General features: G+C 38.6%; 1 protein-coding gene and 1 long non-coding RNA gene across 17 annotated transcripts in view; one reads left to right on the plus strand and one right to left on the minus strand.

Annotated features, from left to right (window-relative positions):
* DIAPH3 (diaphanous related formin 3) overlaps positions 1 to 13,312 on the minus strand; it is a 498,346-nt gene that overhangs the window by 477,235 nt on the left and 7,799 nt on the right. The gene's annotated exons all lie outside the window — the stretch shown is intronic.
* On the plus strand, positions 1,881 to 10,688 carry DIAPH3-AS2 (DIAPH3 antisense RNA 2). The gene is made up of 3 exons (NR_046540.1): positions 1,881 to 2,046; positions 4,438 to 4,528; positions 10,579 to 10,688. It is a non-coding gene; the product is annotated as a DIAPH3 antisense RNA 2 (long non-coding RNA).

Below are 13,312 nucleotides of genomic sequence, written 5' to 3' on the forward strand. Positions count from 1 at the left end.
AGGGATCATAGCTCACTGCAGTCTCGAACTACTGAGCTCAAGCGATCAGCTTCCCAAGTAGCTGGGATTACAAGAGCACACCACCATGCCCCACATTTTTTTTTTCTTTTTTTTTTTATAGACGGCGGTCCCACTATGTTGCCCAGACTGGTCTTAAACTCCTAGCCTCAAGTGATCCTTCTGCCTCAGCCTTCCAAAATGCTGGGATTACAGTAAGGTGTGAGTCCACCTCATCCGGCCAGCCTTTCTCTTTTAATACTTTCCTAAATAATCCTCACCTTAAACCAACCTACCTTGGTTTCTGTTTATTTCTGGGCCTTGACCAAGACACTACCGCAGTCCTCTCCCTCTCAATACCTGGCTCACCTTTCAAATGCTGCCTGATTCAGGAAGGTTCTCTAAGCTTGCCCACATCAAGCGTGCCTTCCTAGCACTTTTACATCCTGCCTTGCACTGTGGCACAATAGAGCAGTACTGAGCAGAGGTGAACAGCCTCGGCTCTGGGATAAGACTCACCTGGATCAGAATCCAGCTCTGATACCAATCATCTGTGTGATCTTGAGCACTTAAACTCTCTGAGCCTGAATTTCTTAACTGTACTATGAGGCAAACAAGCATCTTCCCCATAGGCTTGGTAGAAGACTTATAGAAAAGACCATGGTACACAAAATACTACACCTGAGGTTCAGAAACTTTGACCAATGTTATTCTGCTTCCTTCACAGTAAGATCCATATAGGCATCACCTGGGTTCAGCTCACTCATTCTCAAGGATACTCCCAATAGTCTTCTCCTCCTCTAGGGCCCCATAACCAGTCTGTAATCCATCTAAATCCATTTTAAATGTGTACTGCCTCTCCTGTGGGCTTGATTTTTGTCATGGTCAATTTACCAGCAGCTCTGTTTTGCTGGGTGTCAGTTATGTTGGGCTGCCCTCTGGGGCCTTTCACATGCTGTCATATTTCTTTGGGGCTCAAATATGGGGGTTGAAAAATCTATGCAGTGGCAGTTTCCTAATGCCATCCCCAGAGCCAGCATGTTGCCAGGGCCTCAGGAGACTCACAGTCAGATGGACGAATCAGATGTGAGGTAAACAGATTAAGTAGGTACTGCAGATAAAAATTTAGAGTAAGGGTGGATCAACCTTCATTATTATGGAGAAATGATCTCATTTCCTTCTTCCCACAGCCCTTTTGTTTACAATTCCCTTGGGTCACCGATAATGGTTTGTCTTGCAGTTTGTGTTTATACCTCCTTTTCTGTTTGTATGTCGCAGGTACTATGTTCCCCTCAACTTTGAATCCCCAGCCCTACCATGGTGCAGGGAACATTTTAGGCAGTGGTTATCAACCTGACTACATATGAGAATCACCTGAAAGCTTGTTTTCTTTTCCCAATACGGATGCCTATGTAATATCCCAGCCCAAATGAATCAATACCCAAAGATGGAGCCTGCCATGGATAATTTTAAAGGTCCCCAGGTAACTCTAATGTGCAACCTGGAAACAAAACTACTAAAACTAGGCAAACTATTTTAGACTCAGTCTTTCAGCACCAAGACTGTCATCAAGAAATCTCCAAAGATCCCCACATGTAAACAAGGTAGACACCTGTGGGTGTATCTGCCTCCTGCACACTGTCTCTTCTCTGAGAATGCCTATGCCATAGAGGTAGGCCCACCAGTCTTCACTGTTCCTTGTAAGCCAGCCCTAGCCGCAGCTAAACACAAGGCAGAATATAAACCCAAGCAGAGCCAATCAAATCTCCATTTTCCCAGAATTCTAGAATTGGAATTCAGATATGAAAATCAGGCTCTACTCTTGCACGGACCAAGGACATGTATGTCTATCTGGAATTATGAGGTTCTAGGCTTGGCTGTGTGAAGATCAAAGCAGAGGAAGCCACACAATGCAGAGAATCAACAGTGGAGCTATGCCTAGTGAGAAGCAAAGAGACACTGGATGGCCTGAGAGGGAAAGAGACTGAGAAAAGCTGTCAGCTTTTAGTTCCTGGTTCCAGTCCTTTGTGACGGCCAGCTTGATTAGAGGTGCTACTCTTGTGTATCTTTACAATTCCTCCTTTCAGGATTACAGTAGATATTGTATAGGGATCTGTTCCTTTAGACCAAATGGGCCTTTAACTGAGACAGAACCCAAGATTGCTAAATGGGTCCCTAGGTACCCATATGATACAGCCCACCTTATCACTACTACTACACCTTACTGGACACTTTGCGATTACTAGTATACCCAGCAACCCTAAAAACTCGCTATTATCCCCATCTTAGAGAACAGGAAATTGAACAGCACAGAAGTGACTTATAAGGGTTGGTGAGTACCTAGGCTGGGAATGAGTCAAAAATCCAGCCTCACTCTCCTTCCTTTCCCTCAGTCCCCAGAACTATGATGGGACAGCCAGCTGCTGAAGCAGTTTCTGAATTATTTATGGAGCAAAGAATTCAAAAATGAAATCTTAACAAGAAAGATGAGCATAATTCCAATTGGATGATTACTAAATGATAACAACAACACTGACTACAAAACCACACCTTAAAACCAGGCGCAGTGGCTCACGCCTGTAATCCCAGCAGGGAGGCTGAGGCGGGTGGATCACAAGGTCAGGAGATCGAGACCATCCTGGCTAACACAGTGAAACCCCGTCTCTACTAAAAAAAATACAAAAAATTAGCTGGGCGTGGTGGCGGGCACCTGTAGTCCCAGCTACTTGGGAGGCTGAGGCAGGAGAATGACGTGAACTCAGAGGCGGAGCTTGCAGTGAGCTGAGATCGTGCCACTGCACTCCAGCCTGGGTGACAGAGCGAGACTCCGTCTCAAAAAACAAAACCTCAAAGATAAATGGGCATGGAGGGGGGTTGCAATTTCTGTCAATTGACTAACACTAATAAGAATACATGGTTTGCTAGGGTGTTTCCTCCTTTTTTTTTTTAAGTTGCTCTCAAATGTGTAATAGAAATGAAAAGCTTTTTTATTTCTCATTTATAGATTTTTAAAGCTGGGGTATATACCACAAACCTTATAAACCATACACTCCCAATTCAGACTGAAACATAAGCCAAAATTATCCACATTCCAACATGTCACTAAAAAATGCTTGTCAGGAATTATAATACAACAGCTAAAGAAAATTTAATTTCTTAAATTATTGATAAAGTTTGAACTTATTCTAAATAACTGAATTACCATTAAGTTTTCTTGTATAATTTAATACTACTTATTACACCCTCTAAGTTGTTTTATCTCTTAAAAGGAATCAAAAAGATGATTACATATTTATAAAATGAGCATCTGAAAAATGAAGAGCACAATTCCAGTTTTTACATGCAGTTCCAGTACTACGCATAAGATGTAGGTTACCTTTTACATTTCTTTCAGAAATATTAACCAAACAGGATATAGTTACTGCACATCTAAGTTACCAGGCCACCAGGTGCAGGCTGGGTCATAAAGACCTATAAAATATGGTACCTGCCCTGAAGAAGTTTACAATCCAATAAGTTCTAGAGGAAAAAGAAATAAGCTGGGTCATTTATTTTCCCTTCTTGGTGATTCAAAAAAACAATATAACATTAGTAACTGCCTGCCAGAGCTAAACATACTGAAAAACACAGATTCATCTCCTTAATGCTTTCCTTTGCACTTGTCATCCAAAGCAATGTGGGGAATTTGGAGAGAGAAATTCTAGAATGGGATTTGATACAGAGCGGCCCAATACTGTACCTAATTTGCACTGTGCCATATGCAATACAGTGAAATCCTAACACATTACAGTCTATATTGCAGTCTGGTTATGAACACACCAATTTCTGTAGTCCAGCCACAAGCTCAAGCAACTGCAGCCTAACTGTCCTTGGAAATCCTCCAACAATGCCAAAGGAGACTTCAGCAATGATTTAAGCATATTTGTATAGGACTTTTAAAAGTACAATAGTTTTAGGTTGATTATCGCACCATTCAAACACACTAATAAAAAAAGGCAACAAGGTTTGCAGGAAGTCAGCAGCTGATAGCCACAGGTAAGGGAAGGCACCCATTGATCCTAATAATCTAGTGAAAATTACTAAGGACTGCAGATCTCACAAGGATGTGAAGATAATTCTCACATGCCTGTTTCTGTCATCACTGATGTTGTTTCACTCGTAAACTTATTGAGGGTAGCTCCATAGGCTATAAAACTGCATCATCTTTGCCAGAATAAAATGTCCATGTTATCTATAAGAGTTAAATCACGTTACTGGAAGGTAGTCTATAAGAAACACCTGACTCACAGGTGAAGCCTCCAAGGCCCATAGGTAGTCCCTTTAAACTTGAATGTAGGCAAATGTCTGTCAGCTGAAGAACTAGGAAAAAAAATGCTGCCAAGAATACCATAGGAAAATTCTCAGCATGTGTCTTCAACTTGTGCAAATTCCTATTTACAGAGAAAAGGTCATTTGGAAAATATAGCCATTTTTGGAAGACTGAGCAGCCAAGGTTCTTAAGTATAGGAGATTGGGACAAAACAAAAAAAAGGTAAATTTGTTCATCAATCTACTTGGTACATGTTTGGAACTAGAGACTCAAATAGGGAAAATTTGCTCTTGGGCCTCCCCTTCCCCTCTATCAGATAAGTAAGGCTAACAGAAACTTCAATCTGTAAGGTACAGTACAGTGAGATTAGTGCTATAACTGACACTGATCTAAGCATTCCAGAAGATCTGCTTACAGATACCAGGGAACACCTCAGGGTCCAGATTTGCTTCAAGCATGCACAGAGGACACTGGAATGGACCAAACCAGCACAGAGCAAAAGCTTTCTAGACAGGAGGTCTAGCTTGTAAAAATACATTGCAATCATGCAGGGACCTACAAGTAAATTGTATGAATAGGAACTGGAATTTCAGGTGGAAGTTGAGGGATCCAATCTAGAAATGTGGGCAATGACAAAATTTAAAGGACAAGATCATGCTACTTGGCCTTTAAGTTGTGGATGATGCAGGAGAGAAACTGAAGGGTTTTAAGCAGGTTCCATAATCACACTTGGGTTCCAAAGAAAACTATTGTAGCAGCAACATGGTGGATAAAACAGAGTAGACCCAAGAACGAGAGCCAAGGAAATCAGTTAGGAAGCTATTGCAATCTATTGCAATAACCCAGCAGAGAGATGGAAGGTAAGATAGATGAGGTCAGGGACAGTAGGAGAAGAGAAGAGGCAAGTGCTATAAGTACCCAGGAAGCATAATCAAGGTTACTGGATAACCAATGCATATGGAAGTTAAAGATCAAGAAGTTGAAAATAAATCCAAGGATAAAATGTTGACACTGACTAAGAGAATACAAAAGAAAGAAGTTTATGAGAAAGCAGATAAATTCGAGTTGAGATACAGTGAGTTTGAGGTACCTCTAAGCCATCCATGTAAAATAAGGTTGAATATTTTGGACAAAAGCTCAAAAGACCATCCTAAAATAAAGATGGAGTTTTAAGAAGTCATCAGCTTCTAAATCTGAGCTGTCCAATATGCTAGCCATTAGCCACATATGGCTATTTAAACACAACTTAATTCAAATTACACAAATTAAAAATTCAGCTCTTTGGTAGCAGTAGCCACATTCAAGTGCTCAAAAGCCACATATAGCTAGTGACTATCAAATTGGACATGGCAGGACACAACATTTCCATCATTTCAGAAAGCACTAATCTAAGTGGTAGTAAAAGCTAAAGAAATGGATGAGTTCACACTAGAAGCACGTATAAAGTAAAAAGAGAAAATCAAAGAGATTACTTGGAAAGACTCATTTTAAAGGATAGGGAAAGGAATAACCAAAGATCAGAAGAGAAGAACATGTTAGACCATGGTTTCAAGGGGGGCAAGGTTTGTACAAATACAATGAAGAAGTCATATAGGGTGAGGCTTAAGACAAAAATCAGCACTGGGTTTGGCAGTTGATCTGCCTGGGCAACAGAGCAAGACCCTGACTCAAAAAAAAGCCCAAGTTAACTCCACAGCCTGAGTTCTTAAAGATTATGCTACATGAACTCCCCAGCAACACTGTAGTATGTGTTGATTCACACCTCTCTTTCCCCATACCAGACTGAATATAAACCTCTTGAAATCAAGGACCAAATTGCATCTACCCGTGTGCTATGCTCAGTATAACTGGCATTCAAAAATTTACCGAATAAATGAAAACAAGTAATTCACAGAAAGTGGCTAAAAAGGAAGGAAGCAGAGCATGGTATTCAGAGAGACAAAGGGTCAAGGGAAAGTTGAGGAAAGGGGTTGTTTGGTTTTCCTTCTGCTTTTTCTTTCACAATGGTAAACATTTCAGCACCATTACAGGATGGAGCGTGTAAAAAGCAAAACCTTCCTGACAGAATGTGGATGGGCCAAAAACAGCAGTAAAGAGATTAACCTCAAATAGGAAAATATATTCCTTGTGTGGATATTGGAGGAGAAACAATGAAGAATGGTCGCAGATATAGACAATTACAGCAAGCTCTAGGAAAACTTTCTCTGAAAAAGGTATCAAGGGGCATGCTAAGAGTCAGGAGTAATCATTCCTAAGATCTTAAGCGAATGCTGTGGTATGTTCCCATGTGGGAAAAAAGTGGGTGCTTGACATACACACAGAATATCATTGGAAGGATACAAAAGAGCTAGGTGCAGTGGCTCACATCTACAATCCCAGCACTTTAAGAGGCTGAGGTAGAAGAACTACTTTAGCCCAAGAGTTCAAGACAAGCCAGGGCAACACGATGAGACCCTGTCTCTATAAAATATAAATAAATAAATTAGCCAAGCGGTGCAGCGTGCCTGTAGTCCCAGCTACTCCAGAAGCTGAGGTGGGAGGATCACATGAGCCCAAGAGGTGAAGGCTGCAGTGAGCCATGATTGTACCACTGCACGCCAGCCTGGGTGACAGAGTGAGACACTGTCTCAAAAAAAAAAAAAAAAAAAGATATAAAAGAAAATAATAAGCTAACCAGCAGCCCTTGGGGCTGCTCTGCCTATGGAGTAGCCATCTTTTGTTTCTTTACTTCTCTGATACTTTCTTTCATGTTAAAAAAGAAAAAATAATAAATGTCATCATGGCAGGTGGTGGGGAGGGGGACCTTAATTGGTGGTCTAGGATGGAAGGGAGGCTTAGGGAATTTCCCCTTTGTACTCCTACATTGTTGGACTTTTTAAGAAGTACAGATGTTGTTTTTCAGTTTATTTATTTTTTGAGACAGGATCCCGCTCTGTTTCCCAGACTGGAGTGCAGTGACACAATCATGGCTCACTGCAACCACAGCTTTCGAGGTTCAAGCAATCCTCCCACCTCAGCCTTCCAAGCAGCTGGGACTTCAGAAATGCACCACCACGCCAGGCTAACGTTTTTGTATTTTTTTGTACAGACGGGGTTTCACCATGTTGCCCAGGCTGGTCGTGAATTCCTGGACTCAAGCAATCCACCTGCTTTGGCCTCACAAAGTGCTGGGATTATAGACATGAGCCACCGCGCCTGGCCGCTTTTTCAATTAAAAAAAACTATTTGGGACAAAAAAGAATCAGGCCAATAGATGAGATAAAGAAGTGATAGGTTTAGCATAAATGCTGTGAGAAATTGAAAAGGAGATGACCAAAGAGCTAGTGAAAAGTCAGGACCCATCATGCCCTATTCCCAGTTAATCTCTCTGTGTCTCAACCCCCTCATGTGCAAAATAACAGTAGGGAGAGTGCCCATTTCAAAGTACTGTGTGAGGGATAAGTGATTAAAATAGTGCCCAGCCCGTTGTATGAGCTGAACAAATGCGGTTATTGTGATGATGATTGTTATCTAGCAGCACTGAGGACACACAGATACCCAGTGTCTAAGGGCATCAGTTCACAAAGCTGGGAGTGGTTTCCACCAGGATGCAGGAACCCAGTTCAGCCACAGAAGCCTGCCAGGTTGCTCCAGGCTTGGAGATCTGAGGCAACTGAACAAGGAGGCCAAAGGTTCTATTATTTATTGATATTCTACCTTATGTGAGGTGTGAGGAAGTGAGGAGTTTGAAGGCATCCCAGTTCAAAGGGAGCTCCATGGTTACTTTTGTGGAGTGTGGGTTTAGTGTGGAGCAAATGTTGACAGCAGGAGGCAGACAGAGAAAGAGAGGCAATGTACAGAGGCTGTAGTAGGTCTACATGAAACAGAAAGGAAGGGAATATATCCAGGCACCAAACAAACCTCTGGTGTGTGTCCCACTGCAATGAATGGCTGAGTCCCTGGACACAATACCAGTGTCCCCCAGGAAAAAAAAAAAAAAAAGCTATGAGGATAAAGGAAGTAGGAAGCAGGAAGAAGAGGTTAAAATACTGTCAATAACTGAGAACTTAACACTATAGTGATGAGGTCTCCCCTATTAATAATAGTTGTCACATATTAATTGTGCTGTGCCTAAGCTATCGTAACATGTGTTAACTCAACTAATCCTCACAACAATCTATAAGCAAACAGACTAATTACTTCCATTTTATAGAAGGGAAAACAGAGGCACAAAGGTTGATAATTTGCCCAAGGATATACAGACACGTTTGAGTCTCTCTCAAGTCTTTTTATCACAGTTTAAGGGTGGGACTTCAGAGCCACATTGCCAGGCCCAAGTTCTTCAATAACCCACATATGTTTCTGGTAGTCTTTACATACCCTTGCCCACCACCACTAGGATCTTTTATAAAAAGAAATGAGTAATTATTAATAACATTTAAACAAATTCATCATGAATGGGTTAATGAACCAGGCAATATAAAGTTACAAGAGTACTTTGTTTTGATTTTCAATTAGCCAAACATTCAGATTCCTACTGTAAGCACAAGTCTATACCAGGCACCACACAGAAAGTGACTTCCAAAAGCTTACAAACACATGTATAAAGTAACTAAAAGCAGGTTCAATATAACATAACAATAAGAGCAAAATTATACCCTCAAAAGAGACTGAGTGGAGTTAGAACATGGTTTTAATTGGAGACCGTCACCTTTTATAAAGAAGTGAAATAGTCATATTGAATTTCTCAATGCAGATTATATGCACTCCATTTTTCATGTTCATTTCCCAGGCTGTCAATTTTTTCATTAAAAAAGAATTGTAATTGTCATTATGCAAGGAATTCAATCAAAGGTTTTAATAAACAAAAACAGTTTAATTCTATAGTAAAGTCCATAATTAATGTCACCAATTTGCAAATCTTTTACTTAAAAACTGAATGTTACAAAGTTTCATTTTATGACACCCAAATAAACAGCCAACCTCGGAAAAAAATGCAGCAATTACGGGATAAACTCTCTGTATCTTGGGAAGATACTTCATAATAAAATTAACTAAATAAATGCAGCATTATGGATCTCACAATTAATCTACTCAGGGCTTTTACTAAGGGCTTCAAGAAATTCTACACCATAACTCCTTTGACAGAACTATGACTGAACAGGTATTCAGTCTTCTTTAATTCAAGAGGGTGTGTACTTAGACCACAGCTACTTGGATATATCCCACATCCCTCAGCACACAGAATGACCTCACACTTGGTACATTAATTCATAGTCTCCCCCTTCCTTTCCAGTATTTAAGATCTGTCATGATCCTCAAAGATGGAGAGATCAGAAAGCTACTGAGTATTAATTCCATTCACAGATTTACTTTTAGGGAAAGATATATATATATATATATAAATTGGAACCCTAAAAAAATCAAAATTGAATTTAAAAAAATCAAAATTGAATTAAAAAAAAAAGCCCTGTAAACCCAGGAAATGAAGAGTAAAGATTAGAAGGAGATAAAGATAAGAAGGGAGAAAATGAACATTTCAATGGAATTTATGATATTTAATGTTTTAAGCTTATTAGTGAGTATACAGTGTTTTACACCTCTTTTGTATGATACATACATGATAAAATATATTTTTTTAAAGATTGCAAGTTTCTTATTTAACCAAAAAAACTATTAGAAGCAAACTGTTTTGAAACACATTGTATACATCCTTCACTACTGATACTTACTAATCACTTTTACCTCATCACTAAACAAAGGACTAAGGTGAAAAACATTTGCCTGGTTCAGGTACACATCTAATTTCTTAACTCAAGTCATCTCTGGGTACCCCAAACTGTGGTCTACAGAGGCCTTCCACAAATTCTACTTAAGTCTTATGTTTTTTCAAGATTATCTTAAACATTAGAACTAAAGTAAGCATATTCTGGACATTGTGAATGACCCACTCTATAACCATGTTCTCTCAGGAACTTTTGGTTTTACTTTTGTAAATACTTTTGTATTTACTACCAATATGGTTCTCAATGAGGGCCAAGCAACATCATGACACAATAGATTTTCACAAGCTCTTCCACTTAGGAAGAGTTCAGTTCCAAATGGCTATTTATAATTCCAAAATCACATTATTCTGGAAACTATGCACCCACAGGTATGGAAAATTAGATTTCAAGAGAAAAATGAATATAGAAGCTGGAAGTATAAGAGTTTTTATTTTTTCTGCTGCTTCAACAGTTTTATAACATTTACTAAAAAATGTTTATATATGGCTATTTTCTTTTTAAAAACAGGTTTATAACAGTTCACTACTTCATCTACATCCTCAAGCCAACACCTATGAAAAAGATAATGGTGTCCGATGACAGGCCTCTGCTAACAGTGTAAGGCTATCTGTGAACTCCTCAGTCTACACATATCTTCCTCAGCCTCTGGGATTCCATTTCCACCCAAGAATTAAATTGATAGAAAGAAAAACAGCAAAATATACACATATTTTTCCACTATTAAATCCAATAATGATGACTTAATTTCAGCAAAACATCATCAATCGCATTAAATTAATGTTGCTGTTAATTTGAATTTTATGGGTTTTATAGTTTTGTTTTGGATTGTAGATGTAAATCTGTTTTAGTTTTATAGCTGTAAAAAGTGATAGGCATAAAGAGTTACACTTAGTTTTATATCTGTACATATATTAGTAACATTATTTTTATTATCATTCAAGTCCATATTGGAGTATCACAAGAATTTTTTTTCCTAAGTTTGAAGTTGTTTCCTTTATACGTTTTTTTGTAAGTTACATTTGTACCCCAAGTTTCATCATCCTATTATCCCCACTTTAGACATAAAGAACAGGCCCCTAAGAAAGCTTCAGAAACTTGCTCTGACCATTCAGTCATCAGATCAGAACTCTGCATCAATCCAAATGTTACCTGGTATGCCAGGATAAGAACTAAGAACAGAATGGCTCTGCCTCCAGCACACCAAGAGGAAATAGCCTGGTTCAATTAAGTTTTCCAAGATTAGAAAGCTTTTCAAATATCCAATGTATTCCTAATGCCCTAAAGTGTAGGCAAAAATTGTACTATTATTACTGTTACTACTAATGATAACAAAAACAACAATCCTATAAATGGCAAATATTTCCATAGAGGTTACAATGAGCCAGGTATTCTAGGCCCAAAACATAACTTTTAATCTTCATGACAACCCCATGTTACACATGAGAAAGGGGAGGCACAGAGAACGGTTAAGTAATTGCTCAGTTCACACAGCTAATAAGTGATATTGCTGGGATTCAACCCCTGAGAGTGGTTCAAGTCACTGCTCATAAATGTTACTCATAACGCTTCTTCTACAAAAAACTGTAAGAAAAGATAGCAGTGGGTCTTTTGAAGAATAAAATCTATGGCAAGCATTTCCAAATAGATTTCACTAAGTAACTAGTAACATGAATGTTTCAGGACCAAAGCTTATTTAAACTCTTAAATTCTCCCCTAAGTTAATAAAGACTATTCAATTTGCTATTTGAGAAAAATTACTCCCAATGGTAAGGTATTTCAATGCCATCCTGCTGCTACTGAAAGAAAAGTTACCTTTGTAGATCCTGTTCAAAGAAAGCCCATGCTTTGATCCTTAATATCCCATGAAGTAAAAGGTTATGCTTAATCTATATTTTATAGATCTAAAAGTCAAATTAGTTTCTGAGATAAACAAGCAAGAGTGTAAGGATAAGCATATTCTTTAGCATTCATTTGATTCCTAGTTTAGAGGATACTATGTGCTAAGTTAAAGACAATTACATTAGTGTAATACGTAGCAGTTTTTTCCTGTATTATTCTGCAGCATAAACAAGTTAGACACATGTTAATTTACATTCTATATAAAAAGCCAATTTTAAATCCAATTTATAAGGCAATAAATATATAAAGATTCTAGGACACAGCAATAAAGTTACGCCATAAAGTAGAGTTAATTCAAGACAACAATAATAAAAGCATGACAAATTTTAGCATTCCACCAACTGCACAAAGGTGTTTCAGGTAACATCTGTTCAGAAGCAATTGCTACAAGATAGACTAGATGAGATGCAAGGTTTCACCATGTAATAAATGTATGTCAGTTTGCTTGCTTCATAATTAAAGACATGAGTCTTTGAAAAAAGCAATTAAGCCCTGTTCTAAATCTGAGACAATCATCCCTATCTCTACCCCCACCCCTTTTTACCGTCAAAGAAAAGACCCAGAGTGGTCCAGGAGTATTAAATGCCATATGTTATCTACTTTCAGCAACTAAATGTATCCCCCAAAAAGCCACTTAATATATATTGTTTCTTTTGATAAATCATTTATTTAAAAAAATTTCTGGGTTTTTCTGTTTTATTAAGAAGGATAGAAAGGAAAGAATGGCTGGGAAAATTCAGAGCAATTTCTTAGAACAGCAGCCTGAATAAAATGATTTTACCTCCTTCTGAAGCTTACAATGCCTGGTGTGTGTTAGGTAGAATTCTGACACGAATAAAATTTAGGTGCCTAAAGCTTTCAACTAAAAACAGTATCTCAATTCTTGACAGTTTAACCCTAGGACAACTGAGAGCATCACTTAAGCTGAGAACTCAATGAAGGAACAAGTTCAAAAAATCAAAAAGAGCATTTAGATATCACCTCCATCTTTTCCCAGCTTCCTAGAAACTATAAATACAGAGTAGACAAAACATGAATGGAGGTTTTGGTTGTTATTCCAGTGGTGGTTTATTTTTCTATTGTAATTTGGTTATCGTCTGTCCTCCCAAATTACAAACAAACCCTCTGAAATAAAGTGAAGGCAGAGATTTAAATGAATCTGATGGTCCTCCTTGTAACTATACCTAGCTTCATTTCCTATGGCAGGTGTAACACATTACCACAAACTGGCAGCTTAAAACAACAGAAATTCATTCTCTCAGTTCTGGAGGCCTGAAGTCCCAAATCAGTTTCACTGTGCCAAAATGAAGGCAGGCTGCTCTCCTTCTAGAAGCTCTAGGGG

This window comes from Homo sapiens, chromosome 13 (assembly GCF_000001405.40).
Source record: "Homo sapiens chromosome 13, GRCh38.p14 Primary Assembly".
NCBI classification, from domain to species: Eukaryota; Metazoa; Chordata; class Mammalia; order Primates; family Hominidae; genus Homo; species Homo sapiens.